At 47.3% G+C, this 19,849-nt stretch overlaps 1 protein-coding gene and 1 pseudogene across 21 annotated transcripts in view; one reads left to right on the forward strand and one right to left on the reverse strand.

The window, feature by feature from the left end:
* ABAT (4-aminobutyrate aminotransferase) overlaps positions 1-19,849 on the forward strand; it is a 109,954-nt gene that overhangs the window by 19,462 nt on the left and 70,643 nt on the right. For 3 of the 21 annotated variants that reach the window (NM_000663.5, NM_001386606.1, NM_001386613.1), the window contains exon 1: positions 19,502-19,787. The exons of 12 other annotated variants lie outside the window; for them this stretch is intronic. The gene's annotated coding sequence lies outside the window, so the exon portion shown is untranslated. Of the gene's footprint in view, positions 1-18,758; positions 18,828-18,870; positions 19,275-19,412; positions 19,788-19,849 lie in introns of those variants that run through there. 6 more of the 21 variants (XM_047433687.1, NM_001386604.1, XM_047433685.1 and 3 more) reach the window with 4 other exon arrangements.
* Positions 11,379-11,440, reverse strand: RNU7-63P (RNA, U7 small nuclear 63 pseudogene; annotated as a pseudogene).

Raw genomic sequence — 19,849 nt, forward strand, 5'->3', positions numbered from 1 at the left:
GAGTACAGTGGCACGATCTCCGCTCACTGCAAGCTCTGCCTCCCAGGTTCACGCCATTCTCCTGCCTCAGCTTCCCGAGTAGCTGGGACTACAGGCGCCCGCCACAATGCCCAGATTTTTTTTTTTTTTTTTTCAGTAGAGACAGGGTTTCACCGTGTTAGCCAGAATGGTCTCGATCTTCTGACCCGCCCGCCTCGGCCTTCCAAAGTGCTAGGATTACAGGCGTGAGCCACCGCGCCCGGCCCACTCCATCCATTTTATTCAGATTTCCCCAGCTTTACATGCATTCACCTTGCACGTTTTTTGTTTGTTTGTTTTGTTTTGTTTTTGAGACAGGGTCTTGCTCTGTCACCCAGACTGGAGTGCAGTGGTGCAATCAATGGCTCACAATAGCCTTGAGCTCCTGGGCTTAAGCAATTCTCCCGAGCAGCTGGGACCACAGGCACATGCCTCCATGCCTGGCTACCTTTTTTATTTTTTGTAGAGATGGGGTCTCACTATATCGCCCAAGCTGGTCTGGAACTCCTGGGCTCAAGCCATCCTCCCACCTCAACCTCCCAAAGTGCTGGGATTACAGGCATGAGCCACCGCACCTGGGGCCAGCTATGAAAGATTTTGTTTTGAGGTTCTCAGTTGCCATTGCCACTTTGCTGAAAAAAGCGGCTCAAATTCCAGTGGAGTGTGGAGTCAGTCATGATGGGTGCATTCCCAAGGCTGAGACATCCCTGGAGTAACTTTAGGTGTCTGTCCTGGGCTGTGTCCTGGCAGAGAAGGAAGCACGGGAGAAGGAAGGCAGGCCGCCGCATCCTAACACCTGAGTTCCGGTTTGGGACACACAGAGAACTCTGTGCTCCCGCCTACACTCTGCCTTCCCCGACTTCCTCCCCATTCCCGACGTTTCACTTGATTGTCAGGCCCAGCTGGCAGCATTCTGCTGGAGCCACTGGGCCAGCAAGCCTGAGAGGTGATGACCCTTTAGTACCTGGGGACAAGGGCATTTGACCTTGTCTGATCAGTGACTGTCCCTATGAGCTCAGTTCTTTGTTCTGGGTCTCGAGTCTGGAGAGCCCCAGCTTTGCTTGGGGACGTCCTTTGCAAGTAAGAGCAGCATGTCAAAGCTACGCGGTTTTGGGAGAAAGTGCTGAGTCTACAAGACATCTCCCCACTGGAGCTGGCATTGTGGGAGAGAGAGGAGAACTCTTCAGAGATTTCTGTTGAAAGACTGGAATGAGAAGCAGATGGTTCATACTGGTTAAGAGGCCAGCGCCTTGCTGTAGTTTTAATTTCCTGCAGGATCCCAATGATTGTAAAGATTGTGTTTCTCCACCTCTGCAGAATCACCCCTAAGCACTGCATTCATGATTCTGCAGAAAAACTAGGCAGCCAGACAGACCTGGTTCAAATCCCAACTGCCGCTTACTTGTGGCAAGAATAGGATGAGTTTTGCTCAACCTTATGTCAGCCTCAGCTTCTCAGTCTGCAAACTGGCACTACTCCACTACATCAGAAGACGTTTAAAAGCATCAGTGATGTCTGGAAATCAGTTAGCATCGGGTGAGTGTAGATAAAGCCTAATCCACCACAGGGCCTTTCGGCTTTCTTTGCCTCCGTTTTCTCATCTGCTAAGTGGAAAGAAATTTTCCTTGCATTGGAGTGATGTTAAGTCTGAAAATACATAGCACTCGAAGTCAGTAGAGATACAGAGCAGTTTTCAGTGGAAACTGAACAGAGTGGTTTGACTCCAGTACACCAGCTCAATGCCAGTTCTTGGGGCAGAGCAGTTGACCCGAGGGAGTGGATAATTAAACAATGCACAGAACCTTAGAACCTGGGACTATGAGGGATCTCTGAGCTGATTGGGTCTAAACCAAGTCCCTTTGCCTGATGCTTAAAGCCTCTCTCCTGCATCTTAGACAAGAAGGCGTCCAGCCTCCAGAGTGGATCCCGCTCCAAGGCAAGGAGCTTTCTTAGTTATTGAGCCAAAATCCGCCTTCGATTTTGTAACTTATTGAAGATTGCAGCCATAGTACAGGACAGAGCTGGGACTCAAACCCAGGTCTGAGTGCACAGCCCATGACCCTAACACCTGGGCCCCATTACCTCTGTAATCCAAGGTTCCTACTGTTGCACTCCATTCTGTCCAGGACTCAGCACAGCACTGGGAACCCAGGAGGATTAAAGAAGGGCCAGGGTGACTGTGCAGGGGGACCCTGGGGAAGAAGGCTGACCTCTGGTCGGGAACTCTCAAAAATTTTGGGATCAGGCTAGGCGTGGTGGCTCACTCCTGTAATCCCAACACTTTGGGAGGCTGAGGCAGACGGATCACTTGAGGTCAGGTGTTCAAGACCAGCATGGCCAACATGATGAAGCCCTGTCTCTACTAAAAATACAAAAATTAGCCGTGGGTGGTGCACGCCTGTAATCCCAGCTACTCAGGAGTCTGAGACAGGAGAATCACTTGAAAGGAGGCAGAGGTTGCAGTGAGCCGAAGCTGTGGAGCCACTGTACTCCAGCCTGGGTGACACAGCGAGACTCTGTCTCAAAAAAAAATAAATAGAGAAGTTTGGTATCAGCAACCTGACTGTGGTCCCTGAGCTCTGGCCAGCCCTTCTTCTGGCCTATAGATGCTGATAGGCCCATGGGACCATTACAGGAGTGAATAGGAAGTGTTCCCAGCAGCCGGGTGCCTGGGGGGCAGATTGGAGAAGCCTGGTCTTGGACAGGCCTCTTCAAGCTGACCCCAGGGCATCCACTTCCCCTGTGGAGGAAGCTCCTCAGGTTAAGTGAACATTCATTGATTTTAATTTTTTCTCCTGGAAAACTGGCTTGCTGCTCCCATCCCCAGAGGCATCCATGTCCCAGGGAATTACCAACTCTCAGCATGTAACTTACATTGCGCGTCGACTGTGAAATCAAGGAGAACAAGAGACGAGGAGCTTGCGTGCTGGCGGAGAGGGACCGATGAATCATGAACGAATGAGAAAGAGACAGATAAGGGTGACAAAAATAAAATGTGTTGGTCTGAAAGCAGTGGGACTACTTTAAGTTGGGGTCAAGGAAGGCTGTTCTGAGCAGGTGGTATTTGGGCTGAGGAATGAGACAGCCGTTTCGGGCCCCGGGGGAAACTCATTCCAGGCAGGGACACAGCAGATGCATGGCAGGTCCCACGTTGGGAGGACTTGAGGTCATCATTAGAAGGTTGGGTTTTATTCTCTCTGCAATTAGAGATGTTTGGTAGGTTTTTAACTAGGGAGTGACATGATGTGTTTCACTTTAAAATAATCCCTATGGCTGCTCCGTGCAAAGTGGATTGAACAAGACCTCGATGGGATCAGAGAGACCATTTAGGTGGCTGCCACAGTCAATTACAAGTGGAAGTGGCTTGGATTCAGGTGGAGACAGGAAGAGAGGATGATCTGGAAATGCCCGGAACAGTCCAGGCATGAGCAATTGCAGTCAGTGCCTGGGTTCAGATCCAAGCCTTTGGAATCATGTATGAATTTGAAACTCCCTTTCCTCCTGTGCAAGTTAAAGGTTTTTTGTTGTTTGTTTTTTGTTTTTTGGTTTTTTTTTTGGAGATGGGGTCTTGCTCTGTCACCCAGGCTGGAGTACAGTGGTGTGATTGCAGCTCACTGCAACCTCCACCTCCCAGGTTCAAGAGATTCTCCTGCCTCAGCCTCCTGAGTAGCTGGGATTACAGGTACAAGCGACCACGCCCAGCTAATTTTTTGTAGTTTTAGTAGAGAAGGGGTTTCACCATGTTGGCCAGGCTGGTCGCAAACTCCTGACCTCAAGTGATCCACCTGCGTCAGCCTCCCAAAGTGCTGGGATCACAGGCGTGAGCCACCGCACCTGACCCTGTGCAAGCTTTAAATTGCAGGAGGTGATCCTTTGTACATTGGAGGTGGTAGTAGTAATAGCTGACATGATCAGTAAAAATATTCATTGAGATCATACATTCACTTTCTGGAGCTGCCGCAAAAAAATTGTCACAAACTGAGTGACTCAAAACAATGGAAGTTTATTCTCTTACAGTTCTAGAGGCCAGAAGTCCAAAATCCAGAGATCAGTAGGACTGTACTCTCTCTGATGGCTCTAGGGTTCCAACTTTGCCTGCTGCCGGAGGAGTGGTTGAGAATAACTGAGTACATGGCCCTCCTTCAGCAATTGCTCTGTTCTGTTGTGTGGAGAGATCACATTTTGTTTATCTGCTCATATGCTCATGGACCCTTGGGTTTGTTTCCCCCTTCTGGCTCTTTTTTTTTTTTCTTTGAGACGGAGTTCCACTTTTGTCCCCCAGGCTAGAGTGCAATGGCACGATCTCAGCTCACCACAACCTCCGCCTCCTGGGTTCAAGTGATTCTCCTGCCTCAGCCTCCCAAGTAGCTGGGATTACAGGCACCTGCCGCCACACCCAGCTAATTCTTGTATGTTTAGTAGAGATGGGGTTTCACCATGTTGTCCAGGCTGGTCTCGAACTCCTGACCTCAGGTGATCCACCTGCCTCAGCCTCCTGAAGTGTTGGGATTACAGGCGTGAGCCACTGCGCCCGGCCTTCTGGCTTTTATGAATAGTGCTGCAATTGGCAGGGCACGGTGGCTTATGCCTGTAATCCCAGCACTTTGGGAGGCCAAGGTGGGCAGATCACGTGAGGTCAGGAGTTCAAGACCAGCCTGGCTACCATGATGAAACCCATCTCTACAAAAAAAATACAAAAATTAACCAGGCTTGGTGGCACACACCTGTAATCCCAGCTACTCGAGAGGCTGAGGCACAAGAATCACTTGAACCAAGGAGGTGGAGGTTGAAGTGAGCCAAGATTGCGCCACTGCACTCCAGCCTGGGCAATAGGGAGAAACTCTGTCTCAAAAAGAAAAAACAAACAAACAAAAAATAAGTAGTGCTGCAACGAACAGCAGCAGATAAGTATCTGTTTCAGTCCTTGCTCTCAGTCTTTGGGGTATGTACCTAGGGGTGGAATTGCTGGGTCATATGGTGATTCTGTGTCTAACTTTTTGAGGAACCGCCTGTTTTCCACTCTGTGCCACATAGTTTTGGTTGAAGTAGTTACAGAACCGCCCCAGATCAAATGTGGGAAGAGATAGATGCCACCTCCCAGTGAGGGACTACTAGGTCACAGAGGGAAGAGATTGGGGAGGGGAGATGCTGTTGCGGCCATCTTTGGAATGTACAAATGGCCACTTGAGTAGTGATTACTTCATTTATTTATTTTTGCAGGGAATTATTTTTTTTAAAGGGCCTCGGATCACCTAAGGTCAGGAGTTCAAGACCAGCCTGGGCAACATGGTGAAACCCTATCTCTACAAAAATTAGCCAGGCATGATAGCAGGTACGTGCAATTCCAGCTACTTAGGAGGTTGAGTCAGGAGAATCACTTGAACCTGGGAATCAGAGGTTGCAGTGAGCCGAGGTCGTGCCATTGCAATCCAGCCTGGGTGACTGACTGAGACTCCGTCTCAAAAACAATAATAAAATAAAATAAAACAGGACCTCACTCTGTCACCCAGGCTGGAGTGCAGTGGTGTGATCTCGGCTCACTGCAACCTTGGCCTCCTGGGCTTAAACGATCCTCCAACCCCATCCTCCTGAGTAGCTGGGACTACAGGTGTGCACCACCACACCTGGCTGATATTTTTTGGTAATTTTTGTAGAGGCAGGGTTTTGCCATGTTGCCCAGGCTGGTGCAGTGAATATTTCCTCTTCTCTTCTCTTCTCTCTCTTTCTCTTTCCCTCTTTCTTTCTTTTGAGACAGAACCCAGGCTGGAGTGCAGTGGCACGATCACGGCTGACTGCAACCTCGACCTCTTGGGCTCAGGTGATTCTCCCACCTCAGCCTTCCAAGTAGCTGTGACTATAGGCGTGTGCCACCTGGCTAATTTTTGTATTTTTTTTTGTAATTTTTGTAGAGACTGAGTTATACGATGTTGCCCAGGCTGGTCTTAAACTCCTAGGCTCAAGTGATCCACCCACCTCTGCCTCCCAAAGTGCTGGGATTACAGGTGTGAGCCACCATGCCCAGCCTGCAGTGAGTAGTTCTTGATGCTTGTCCTGAACGCACACTGTGCTGGGTGTAGGATACAGACATGAGTATTGCAGGTGTGGTTTTTGCCCTCTCACAGCTTGTGGTTACTTGGAGAAGAGCCATTAACTAAAATTGCAAAATTAATTTTGGGGAAAGGGGGCTGGACTTTCCTGATATTCTCTTCCTCCTTTTATCTGTAAGTTGATGAATAACTTAACATAGCAAAGTGCACTAAACTTACATACGCGGCTCCATGAATTTTTACCTGAGAATGCAACCATGTAACCAGCACCTAGATCAAGATCTAGACCGTCCCCAGCCCCCAGAAAGTTCCCTCATACCCCAGTGGGTAACTGCTATTTAACATCTTCACCATAGATTAGCTGAGCCTATTTTAGAACTTTATAAACGGAATCATACCGTAGATACTCCTTGATGTCAGGCGTCTCCCTCTGCACTGTTTGTGAAATCCCACAATTAATCCCTTTTTTAAAGAGACATTGACTTGCTGTCACCCAGGCTGGAGTGCTGTGGCTTGATCATAGCTCCCCTGCAGCCTTGAACTCCTGGGATCAAGCAGTCTTCCCACTCAGCTTCCCAAGTTGTTGGGACTACAGGTGTGCACCACTACACCTGGCGCATTTTAAAACATTTTTTTTTTAAATTTAGAGACAGAGTCTCACTATGTTGCTCAGGCTGGTCTTGAGCTCCCTGGCTCAAGCAGTCATCCTGCCTCAGCCTCCCAAAGTGCTGGCATTACAGGCATGAGCCGCCATGCTGGCCTTAATTCTTTTTTTTTTTTTTTTTGCTTTGTTTTGTTTTTTCTCTTTGAGATGGAGTGTCACTCTGTCTGTCACTCAGGCTGCAGTGCAGTGCTGCAATCTTGGCTCACTGTAACCTCTGCTACCCGGATTCAAGCAATTATCTTGCCTCAGCCTCCCAAGTAGCTGGGACTACAGGCACACACCACCACACCTGGCTAATTTTTGTATTTTTAGTAGAGACGGGGTTTCACCCTGTTGGCCAGGCTGCTCTCAAACTCCTGAACTAAAGTGATCTACCTGGGCCTCCCAAAGTGCTTGGATTGTAGGCGTGAGCCACAATACCAGTCTTGACCTTAATTCTTTAACAACAGCAGTATGGACTGTGAAGGAAACATGTTCTGTGCCACAGGAGCATATAGTAGTGAGCTGTAATCAAATCTGCAGTGAATAACGTGGTAGTGAGCTGTAATCAAATCTGGAGTGAATAACGTGAACACTGGGAAGAGAAGCACTCACCCTTACTAAGCATGCACTATTGGCCAGGCCCTGCCCTTAGAAGGAGAGGGTGAGACCTGCCTGGCCAGAGGCCACAAGCTCTGGAACAGTCCCCGATGGGTTGGACCCCACCTCTGCTCTTCACTATCCGATGTGACTGAGCAGGTGACTTCACTTTGCTGTGCCTCAGTTTTTCCTTTTGTATAATTAAAATACTGATGGTTACTGCATTATTCCCCAAACCTTAATGATCAATAAACATGGAGCTCTGTAATGAGGGAGCTTGCATTGTTCTGGGGATGCTGAGGAGATAGAGGTAAAATAGGAGATACCTGTTACGCAGGAAGAGGTGAGGGAAGGGGAGAGGGAGGGCAGGGGTGCAACTGAAAATCAGACAGCCAAGACCTGAGGAAGACAGGGCGGGAGCCCCTGGCTCTCTGTGGAAGAGATTTTTGGGGAGTGGAATGGGCAGGAGCAGGCTCTTGGGTCAGGCTCATCTGGCACGTTCAAGGAACCACGAGGGGGCCAGTGTGGCTGGAGCAGAGCAGGAGGGGGTGGCAGGGAGGGGAGGGACATGGAGGTGTAGGTGTAGGGGGGTCCTGCAGGCCTCCTGGAGGCCACTCTGATGGCATTGGCTGTCACTCTGCGATGGGGGTGTATTGGTTCGTTCTCAAACTGCTATAAAGAAATAACTGAGACTGGAGAATTTATAAAGAAAAGAGGTTTCATTGGATCATGGTTCTGCGGGCTGTACAGGAAGTATAGCAGCTTCTGTTTGTGGGAAGACATCAGGAAACTTACAATCATGGCAGGAGGTGAAGGGGGAGCAGGCATCTTACATGGCCAGAGCAGGAGGAAGAGAGAGAGCAGAGAGGTGCTGCACTCTTTTTTTTTTTTTCTTTTGGTGTTTTGCCCAGGCTGGAGTGCAATGGCACGATCTTGGCTCACTGCAACCTCCGCCTCCTGGGTTCAAGCAATTCTCCTGCCTCAGCCTCCCAAGTAGCTGGGATTATAGGCATGCACCACCACGCCCAGTTAATTTTTATATTTTTAGTAGAGACAGTGTTTCACCCTGTTGGCCAGGCTGGTCTCGAACTCCTGACCTCAAGTAATCCTCCCGCCTCGGCCTCCCAAAGTGCTGGGATTATAGGCGGGAGCCACTGCACCTGGCTACACTCTTTTAAACAACCACATCTCATGAGAACTCTATCACAAGAACAGCACCAAACGGATGGTGCTAAACTATTCATGAGAAGCCCACCCCCATGATCCAGTCCCCTCCCACCAGGCTCCTCGTCCAACACTGGGGATTACGTTTCAACGTGAGATTTGGGTGGGACATGGATCCAAACCATATCAGGGGACCACTGGAAGGTTTTCACCAGAGGGAGGACTGGTGTGATGTGACCTGACTTTTGCAAAGGACTGCTCTGGCTCCTATGTTGATTGCACACAGACCACAGCCCATGAGAGGAGAAGGTTGATGCTTAGGACACGGCGGGAGCCCTGGGGCTTGGATCACAGGGGAAATGATGGAGGCAGGAAAGTGGGCAGATTCTGGATCTGTTTTCAAGATGGAGCCAACAGGATTGACTGATGGACTAGGTGTGATGCATGAGAGTGTGCCAGGAAGATGCAGGCACCGAGATCCAGGTAGAGTTGACGAACACCTCTCTACTGTCAATGTATTGTTTTTACGGGTACCTTGTATTTATATGAAAGGATACTGGCTTTCTAGATACAGTAATGATATAAAAGTTTCCACTTAAATTACTGCTGTTAAGGGCCGGGTGCAGTGGCTCACACCTGTAATCCCAGCACTCTGGGAGGCTGAGGTGGGTGGATCACCTGAGGTCAAGAGTTCAAGACCAGCCTGGAGTTTCGGCCGACATGGCGAAACCCCGTCTCTACTAAAAATACAAAAAATTAGCCGGGCGTGGTGGTGTGCGCCTGTAGTCCCAGCTACTCGGGAGGCTGAGGCAGGAGAATAGCTTGAACCCGGAAGGCGGAGGTTGCAGTGAACCAAAATCGTGCCATTGCTCTCCAGCCTGGGTGACAGACAGAGTGAGACTCTGTCTCAAAAAAAAAAACCAAAAAATTATTGCTGTTAAAAAGCAAGATAATTTCAAGCAAAAGTCTTACAAATGTTGGTAAATAATAGAGCGTTTAGGTGGATGGCAAATGGTGACTTAGGGAAAGCACACACTTTGTGTGTTGCTGACATGTTAGCAGAAAAAGGAGACAGTGTCTGAGGGCAAAAGTGGCCCTCTTGGGTCTGTGTCCGTTCTCTAAAAACTGAACTCTGCTTGAAATTGAGTGAAATGGATCACCAGTTTGTTATTGGGAAGATAGGAAAGACCTATAGTTTGAAGGCTTGGAATGCCTACATGGGGGACCAGCAAACTGTTTCTGTAAAGGGCCAGACAGTAAGTATTTTTGGCATGTGGGCCATGTGGTTTCTCTTGCCACTATTCAACCCTGCCATTGTAGCGCAAAGCAGCCATGAATTAATAGGTGTAGCTGTGTTTCAATAAAGCTTTATTTAAAAAAGCAGGCCAGTGGCCATAGTTGTGGATCCTTAGCCTACAGTCTGCATCCCAGAGCACAGAGCCTCAAGAGCATCCTCTTTCCTGGCCTTCCAGAAATTTGAGACTTCTTAACTCCAAGCTTTCCTTTCTTCCACTATCTTGGGATGAGTCGAGAAGTTTCCCTTTGTGTCAACTGCAGGTGCACTAAACTCCCTGAATGTGCTGACCTACTTTCAACTTTAAGTATTTCCACCTGGGAACTAGAATCAAATTTGACTGGTTCAATGCTAGAAAGCTAATGTCCTTTTTATAGTCTGTTTGGAAGCTCATCTCCTCTTTCCACACCTTCGGAAACCAAACGGAACACAGATCAATTTCCAAGTGCCTCTGGGGCTCTCTGTTAATGCCACGTCAAGTTACTCAATAGTTGTTTTCCTATAATTAAATATCTGGACACATTGGGCTGCCATCCACTGAAGTTACTCTCATGCCCTGGTGAAGTATCTCTGTGCCTATTATTTGAGAATGCTAGAGAGACTTCTTTTCTCCAAACATTTGATAAAATTAATAATACAGGTTATTAATGAAGAATCAGAAACTACAAAAAGGTGGCAACAAATAGACGGCCATGCCATGGCCTCATATCCAAAATGCAACGGTGCTAAACAGAAAACACATGTCTTTCCAGCCTTGCTTTATTGTGTAGCAGTTTATGATTTTGTTTTTTTGTGCCTGTAAAAAATTGTAGCCAGACTGCATATACAATTTTACATTCTTTTTTTCTCTCATTACATGGCTTAAAAAATCACTTCCCTGTCTTTTTACACAGTTTTCAGTTAATGTCATATAATCAAGCTGTTGTACCACAACTTATTTGAGCAATCCTCTACCATTGGTCATTTACATTGTTTTCAACTGAGCACGCTTCTTTTTTAAAAAAAAATTTTTAAATTTTTGTACAAATGGGGGGTCTCACTATGTTGCCCAGGCTGGTCTCGAACTCCTGGCCTCAAGCAATCCTCCCACCTCGGCCTCCCAAAATGCTGGGATTATAGGCATGAGACACTGTGCCTGTGGCTTTCACTGCTCTGAACATCTCTGAGCATAGAACTATTCCTTCATGTAGTATTGCTTGCATTAGCTAAATTTCTAGAGTTGGGATTTTTTTTTTGATGGGGTGCTGTATTAGTCCATTTTCACACTACTATAAAGATACTACCTGAGACTGGGTAATTCATAAACAAAAGAGGCTTAATTGACTCACAGTTCCACATGGCTGGGAGGCCTCAGGAAATTTACAATCATGGCAGAAAGTGAAGGGGAAGCAGGCACCTTCTTCACAAGGTGGCAGGAGAGAGAGAGAGAGAGCACACAGGGAAAACTGCCACTTTAAAACCGTCAGATCTCGTGAGAACTCACTATCATGAGAACAGTATGGGGGAAACTGCCCCCATGATCCAGTCACCTCCCACCAGATCCCTCCCTTGACACATGGGGATTACAATTCAAGATGAAATTTGGGTGGGGACACAGAGCCAAACCATATCAGGGGCTTTCCAGTCTTTACCGGAAAGCCTGCTAGACAAATTTTAAAAGAGCTATAACACTGAGTTGGGATTTCTTGAGGTCAAAATATTTAATATCTCTTTATGTTGTTTTCCAAAAGGTCTGGATTCAGATACTCTCCAGCAGTGTCTGTTGGGAGAGAGAGAGCCAGGGGTGATGGTCTGGCTTTCAGACCTGAGATCAGACAGGCAGATAGCTGAACTCCCAGGCAGTTCGTTGGTTGGTGGTTGGTTTTTTGCTAGGTTTTAGTTGTTTTTTTGTTCTGAATCTCATTTCAAAGAGAGCAGATTGACTCCACACCTAATGCACATCCTCAGTTTCACAAAGCAGCTAAGAGCAAGTCAGGTTTCATAGTCCAAATGATGCTATTGCTTGAGTGTAATTGTGCACCAGCCATTAGCCCACATTTCTTGGTAGAGCCTCGGTGCCCTTGGATTATGAATTTGCACACAGTGGAATCGCAACAATTTGTTTTATAGTTCTGTCCTTTGAGGGAGTGACATTTCTTCCAAGGTCTCAGCTCCTTTAATCTATAAAATGGGAATAATAAGAATTCACTGGACAAATATTCAGTGTGCCTGTTGGGAGTGTTGGGCATGTGCAGTCCATCTCTGGGGCTAGCATGGAAGGCGTACATTAAAAAGATACTCATGCTGGCTGCAGTGGCTCGTGCCTGTAATCCCAACACCCTGAGAGGCTGAGGTAGGTGGATCACTTGAGACCAGTCTGGGCAACATGATGAAACTCTGTCTCTATAAAAAAAAATATATATATATATACAAAAAATTAGCCAGGCATGGTGGCACACACCAGTAGTCCCAGCCGAGAGGCTGAGGTGGGAGGATCACCTGAGCCCTGAAGGTAAGGCTGCAATGAGCTGTGATTTTACCACTGCACTCCAGCCTGGGCAACAGAGTGAGACCCTGTTTCAAAAAAAAAAAAAAAAAAAGAAAAGACCAGGCATGATGGCTCATCATGCCTGTAATCCCAGCACTTTGGGAGGCTGAGGTGGGTGGATCACTTGAGGCCATGAGTTCAAAACCAGCCTGGCCAACATGGTGAAACCCCATCTCTACTAAAAATACAAAAATTAGCCGGGTGTGGTGGCACGCTCCTGTAATCCAGCTACTGAGGAAGCTGAGGCACGAGAATCAATTGAACCTGGGAGGTGGAGGCTGCAGTGAGCCAAGATCGTGCCACGGCACTTCAGCCTGGGAGACAGAGCAAGACCCTGTCTCAAAAAAAAGATACTCATGCAAATAAATGTGTAAGTACTAACTGTGATGAGTGGAAAGAATTACGCAAGAAGCTATAAGAAATTACAGCAAGACAATTGTATATCCACAAGAAGGTTTATAAATGCTTCTCTGAAGAGATAACATGGAGTGTTTGCGACCTGAGTGATTCCTAGGTTTTGGCTAAGGAGGAATGAGGGAAGCAGACGGGGCTGCAAGAATGGCAGGTGCAAAGGCCCTGAGGCTACAGAGCTCTGTGCCCTCCCGGAATCAGAGGGTGGAATGGGTGGGGTGGCATGTCAGTACTCAGAAAAGAGATGCAGGCAGAGGTGGGTTAGGCAAGGTCCCAGATGCCTCATGAAAGGCTGGGAGCCACCACTGAGCTAAGAAGTGACAGGCTAGGGGAGTGGAGGCTGGAAGATGACTCTCTCCCTGTGCTAGTGAGCAATGCCCATGGTGGTCTAGCAGAATAATCACTTTTTTTGTTGTTTTTTTGAGACCAGGTCTCCCTCTGTCACCCAGGCTTGAGTACAGTGGTGCAATCATGGCTCACTGCAGCCTCGACCTCCCAGACTCAAGCCATCCTCCCACCTCAGCCTACCTTGTAGCTGGGACTATAGGCACACACTACCATGCCAGGGTAATTTTTTTTTTTTTTTTTAGCGGAGACAGGGTTTCACTATGTTGCCCAGGTCTCCAGCTCCTGGGCCCAGGCAATCCTCCCATCTCAGCCTCCCAAAGAGCTGGGATTACAGGCATGAGCCAATGTGCCCAGCCCAGAGTTAGAGACATTTTAGAGGCAAATGAGAGTCCCTTTTCTTCCTCCTTTCCCTAATTTCACCCTCAAGCTGATGACCATGTAATTGTGGTTATGTTCAAGAAGTGAGAGCTAAAATGGGATTTACCTTTACGTCAGTTTGCAAGAGGCAAGAGAGAAGCTTACATTTCTAAAACAGCAGCCACACCGTGGAACCTAAAAGCTAGCTGGACTTAACTCCAGTGCATCCTAGCCAGGAATTAGGGAACTTTTTTTAAACTTTATTTATTTATTTTGTAGAGACAGTTTCCCAGGCTGGTCTTGAACTCCTCAGCTCAAGCAAACCTCCAGCCTTGGCCTCCCAAAGTGCTGAGATTACAGGAGTGAGCCACTGCACCCGGCCAGGAGTTAGGGATATTGGCAACCCCAGGTTATCATCCCAGAACCAGTCATGAAACTCATGAAATCATCACCACCATCCCCATCTCCAAGAGAATCTCTCTAGTACTTGCATGTCATGATTAAAATCAGTGGTCAGTCTTGGCCTGAGTAGGAGGAGAAAGCTGGAACCAGTGGACTTCCTGATATGTGATCCCATGAAAGAGTGAAGTCCGTCTTGTGTTCCTATGGGTAGCTGCTCTGGAGGGTGGAAGCCTGAACTTGATCATTCCCTCTAATTCTCAGCCCATCTAGACAAAAGGAGTCTGCTGGGAGAGAGAATTTGTTTGGTTTATTATCAGTTCTGAAGGTCTCACGCTGGTAAGAAGTTCAGAGTTAGTTGCAGACTTTTTAACTCAAGAGACAGGATCTTGCTGTGTTGCCCAGGCTGGAGTGCAGTGGCATGATCGTAGCTCACTGCAGCCTCAAACTCCCGGGTTCAAAGGATCTTTCTGCCTCAGCCTCCCATGTAACTGGGACCACAGGTGCACACCACCACACCTAGCTAATTTTTTTATTTTCTGTAGAGACAGGGATGGCAGTGGTGGGGTGGTGGGGGGCGCAGGTGGCTCGGGGGCAGGGTTGTGTGTCTCACTTTGTTGCCCAGGCTGGTCTTGAACTCCTGAGCTCAAGCAATCTCCCTGCCTCTGCCTCCCAAGGTGCTGGAATTACAAGTGTGAGCCAGCGCACCTGGCCAATCAAATTCTTTAAAATTAAGTGCCACAAGTTAAATTCTTTTCTTAGAGGTTTAAATGTTACAGACACATGACTGACATGTAATAAATATTCAGCATTCATTGGCAAGAACAGGAGAAGCCAGATGGCTGGATAAGCTTTGGGCTTTGGTTCAAACTGCAGTTCCCCAGATAAATAGCTCCGGGATCTTGGGCATGTTCTAAACTACCTGGGCTTTATTTTTTCCCTCTGTAGCTTGTAAGAGCACCTACTCCACAGACTCATGAGAATAAACAGCAGGTGCTCAATAAACGGCGGCCAGTATTGTTATTTAAGGTTTACACTCACTTTAGGTGTATGTCAGTCCCACCTGAGCTACATTTGCCAATGAGTCACGCCTGGCTACCAAGTGCCCGAAATGGGGCTCATCTGAATGGGGGTGTGCCGTAAGCATAAAACACACATCCGATTTTGAAGACTTGCTATGCCAAAAAGGATAGCAAAATATTAACATTTCGCTAATTAGTTTTCATACTAATTAGTTTTATGCTAATTTATTACCTGTTGAAATGATGAGATTTTGAGGACACGTCAGGTTAAATAGAATTAACATTAATTTCTTTATTTTCAGTGCTTTATTTTTTAATGTATTATTTATCTTTTTTCAACTTTTGCCTTTTTCCATGTGTTCCAAAAGATTAATTTCATCTGTTTCTTTTCTTTTTTGATGTGACCACTAGAAATTTTTAATTGGCACATGTGACTCACATTTTTATTTATTTATTTATTTATTTATTTATTTATTTATTTTTGAGATGGAGTCTCACTCTGTCGCCCAGGCTGGACTGCAGTAGCACTATCTCAGCTCACTGCAACCTCCGCCTCCTGGGTTCAAGCGATTCTCCTGCTTCAACCTCCAGAGTATCAGGGATTACAGGCTCCTGCCACCATACCCAGCTAATTTTTGTATTTTCAGTAGAGACGGGGTTTCACCATGTTGGCCAAGCTGGTCTCGAACCCCTGACATCAAATGATCCACCCGCCTTGGCTTCCCAAAGTGCTGGGATTACAGGCGTGAGCCACCATGCCCAGCCTATATTTATTTTCAATAGTACAGGTCTAAAGACATGATATAGAAAGTAGGAATGGTTAAGGAGTGAGAAAAGCGTGGACTTGGCAATCAGAAAGATGTAGGGGCTTATCAGGGTAGCAGTACTCCCTGTATGCTATTAGAGCAGTCAGTTAACTTTTTTTTTTTTTGAGACAGGCTCTCACTTTGTCACCCAGGCTGGAGTACAGTGGCACGGTAGCACAATCTCGGTTCTCAAGCCATCCTCCCTCCGCCGCCTGAGTAGCTGGGACTACAGACGTATGCTGCCACTCATAGCTGATTTTTGTATGTTTGTATTTTTTTATACAGACCTGCTTTCACTGTATTGCCCAGGCTGGTCTTGAATTCCTGAGCTCAAGGAATCCGCCCACTTTGGCCTCCCAAAGTGCTAGGATTACAGGCATGAACCACCAAGCCCAGCCAGTTAACCTTTGTGTGCCTCCACTAATATCTGTGAAATGGAAGCAAAAATCCCCAGCACAAAAGCATTGTTTCAATCAATGAGATAATACATGGAAAGTACTTAGCTCAGTCCTAGGCACAAAATAGGTGCTCAAACACAAATAAAGGTTATAGCTTTTGTTACATGTATTAGGGATGTTTAGTATTCAGAAGGGGGCTAGGTAAACCCTGAAGACAAATGAATAACAGTAACTCTCATTGGTTTAGCAAGATAGACTTTTGCATGCCATTTCTACCTCCATGTTGACATTTGACCTTCAGAATGACCTTGGGAGGTATGATCAAGCCCTTAGAGAGATGAGAGGCTGGGCATAGTGGCTCACACCTTTAATCTCAGCACTTTGGGAGGCGAGGTGAGAGGATTGCTTGAGCCCAGGAGTTCATAACCAACCTAGGCAACACAGCAAGTCCCCGTCTCTACAAAAAAATAAAAACATTACCCAGGGGTGGTAGTGCATGCCTGTAGTCTCCCAACTACTCAGGAGGCTGAGGTGGAAAGATCACTTGAGTCCAGGAGGTTAAGGCTGCACTGAGAGAGAGACAGAGAGAGAGAGAGAGAGAGAGAGAGAGAGAGAGAGGAAATAGGCTCAGGAGCAAGCACCTTCACATCTGAGCAGGAACTAGAACTAGGCCTTCTTGTACCAACCCTCTGGATTCTCTCAACTTTCCAAGCCTCCAAAGTTTGTTTCTGTGTTTACTTCACTCTCTGGTTAGGTGGTTTCTACAGGAGTCTTTAGAACAAGAGAGAAGACCGACATTTATTACAACCAGCAACCAACATTAATCACTTTCCCATATCAGTACATAAAGCGCCATCGCATTCTTTTTGTTGAATGCAGGTTATTCTGCATGATGGATATACCCAAGTTTATTTTAACCAGTTCCCACTCATGGACAATTAGGTTATTTTCAATTTATATCAATGAGACAAATTCCTTCAAGTAGAATTATGCTAGGGATCAATGGTTTGCGCATTTACAATTTTACAGATTTTGACAAATTGCTCTCCAAGCCATTTGTATGAATTTCCTCTCCTGCCAGCAATGAATGAAGTGCCAGTTCCCCTGCATCGTGAATATGGCCAAATATTTCATGATAAAAATTCAGTGTGGAGAAAGCAGAGGAAAGGTGAGATAGCAGCTGGGAGGCCGTCAGGAGGTGGGGGCAACTGTCCAGGTAGGAAACGATGGGTACCTGAACAAGGACAAAGTAAGGAGGGAGAGGGTGGAGCCCAGAGCTACCGTGGAAGTCAAATTCCGTGGCGTGGTGGTGAAGGAAGATAACAGGAAGGAGGAATCAGATTTCTTGAGTTTCTGGCTTGAACAAATGAGTAGGCAGTGGGTCTGTTAATGGAGATGCTCAACATAGGAAAGGAGATAGGTGTAGTGAAGAGAAGATGATGACTGTGAGAACGTATTGCACTTGATATGCAGGACACCCTGCTGAACCAGGGAGAGGATTTGGGGATAGTGAATCATTTGTGGAAACCGTGAGTGTCCATGAGCTCTCCCAGAGATGGGTGGGTGGAAGGATGGATGGATGGATGATTGGATGGATGGATGGATGGATGGGAAGATGGATGGGTGGATGGATGGGTGGATGGATGGGAAGATGGATGGATGGATGGATGGGAAGATGGATGGATGGATGGATGGATGGATGGATGGATGGATGGAAAAATGGATGGGAAGATGGATGGAGAGATGGAGGGAGAGAAGGATAGATGGATGAATGAACAGACAGACAAAAAACAGAAACCTAGACTTTATTGTCTTTAGATTGAACCATATGAAATTACTATTTTTGGCCAGGTGCGGTGGCTCATGCCTGTAATCCTAGCACTTTGGGAGGTCGGGGGGGAGGGGCAGATCACTTGAGGATCAGCCTGGCCAACATGGTGAAACACCGTCTCTACTAAAAATACAAAAATTAGCTGGGCGTGGTTGCTTGTACCTGTAATCCCAGCTACTTGGGAGGCTGAGGCAGGAGAATCACTTGAACCCGGGAGGCTGAGGTTGCAGTGAGCCACGATGGTACCACTGCACTCCAGCCTGGATGACAGAGCAAGACTCCATCTCATAAAAAAAGAAAAGAAAGAAATTACTATTTTTGTTTTAAAAATTACCAAGTGCTTACTTTTATGCAGGTTGAAATATTTTGGGGGGAAGGATACTGATGTCTACAGTTAACTTTGAAATGCATCAAAAACAGGATGTGATAAAGCACATGTGGTAATCATGTTAATGGTAGAGGCTAGTAGTGGGTATATAGGTATTTACCGTAAAATTCTTTCGGCTTTGCTGTGCATTGGAAAGTTTCATAAAAAATCATGGGAAATGGTCTAGGCGCCGTGGCTCACTGGTGAATATTGTCAATTTCATGTGGTTCCCCTCAATTTATGTTTTATTTGGTCAAAAAGATCCTTCCAGGTTCCCAATCTGTAGCATCAACAGATCTGCTTTGTGGAGTCCCCTTTGGCCCTTGTTCTGCCCCGATTTGGGGGCTGGGGGCTGGGGGCTGACGTTTCTCCCTCTCAAAGTTCAGGTTGAATTGCCCTAACGTGCTGATTACTGCACCGAGGATGCCGGTATCTGGCTTGTAATAATTATAGATTTCCTCTGCGATTTGATCCCATTGGTTGCCTCGGCAACGGCGTAATAGCTCAACCGAAGCGCTGTCACGGTGATTTAGAACCAGTGTGTCTCTCCTGCAGCCTCCATTCTGGGTGCCTCCACCCCCTTGCCGTCGTCATGGTAACTGATGAGCAGCATGTGACCGAAAGCTCTCTGCCCCCCCAACCCCATACCCCCTCCCCATCTTGTGATCACCCTCATTACCTCTTCTGGGCCCCCTGTGGACCTGCGTTGACCCAGCATGGGCTACAATGGGGGAGTTGGGTAATCGCTCCCGGTAGGTTCCTCCCCAACCCCCGAGGCGGGGTCAGGTGGAGCGTGGGCGCCAGAGCAGCCCCTCTGCCTTGGGTGTCTTGGAGATGACTTGGCGCCCCCCGGAGCCCCGTCATGGCTGTGGCTGCGTCCACAACACTGCATCAGCAGAGTCCTGGGGAAGCCATTTAGGAATCTGAAGCCCGGGATTTCTGCTTTGTCCCTTCAGGGGTTCCTGAGCCTGTTAAAAAAAAAAAAAAATCTAGGAAGAGGCCCTGGAAGGAAAAAGGGGAGGGAGATAGCCTATTTTACAAGGTCTGAAATGATGTGTCTTATCCTTCTGGCTTAAACCAAGCTGGGCTTAAAACATCTTTTAAAAAAAATCTGTATTCTATTTTTTTCTCTCTGTTTATCGCTCTCCTTCTGCCTCTGTTAATCTTTGTTTCTGTGTAGTTGCATCCTGTTTCTGTCTGAAAACCCTTGTCTTTCTGAATCCATCTTTCAGTCTCTCACATTCTGTCTTTCCCCTCCTCCTTCACCTTCCCTCCGTCCCTCTCCCTTGCGCACTTGCCGGGTACCAGCTGAGTGCATCCTTTTCCCAAACCTGCTCTGCTTCCAAGGGGCCCTTTTCTGTCTCCTCCACCTGTCCCCATGTTTTGGGGACTGCCTGGAAATCCGGGACACCCTCCTGAGGAGGGAGCTGGTGCCCAACGGCACCTCTTAGGATGAACCCAGCCAGCTGCGTTCCTGGCCTCTGCAGAATGGCATACAGAAGGCATTTTAAGCAAGCGAGCTGAGCTCGCCGCAGGACTCCGACTACCAGGCACCGTGAGTGCAAATGTGTATGTGTGTCTCTGTGTGCATCCTTACATGTGTATGTATTTGCTGCC

This window comes from Homo sapiens, chromosome 16, assembly GCF_000001405.40.
Source record: "Homo sapiens chromosome 16, GRCh38.p14 Primary Assembly".
NCBI classification, from domain to species: domain Eukaryota; kingdom Metazoa; phylum Chordata; class Mammalia; order Primates; family Hominidae; genus Homo; species Homo sapiens.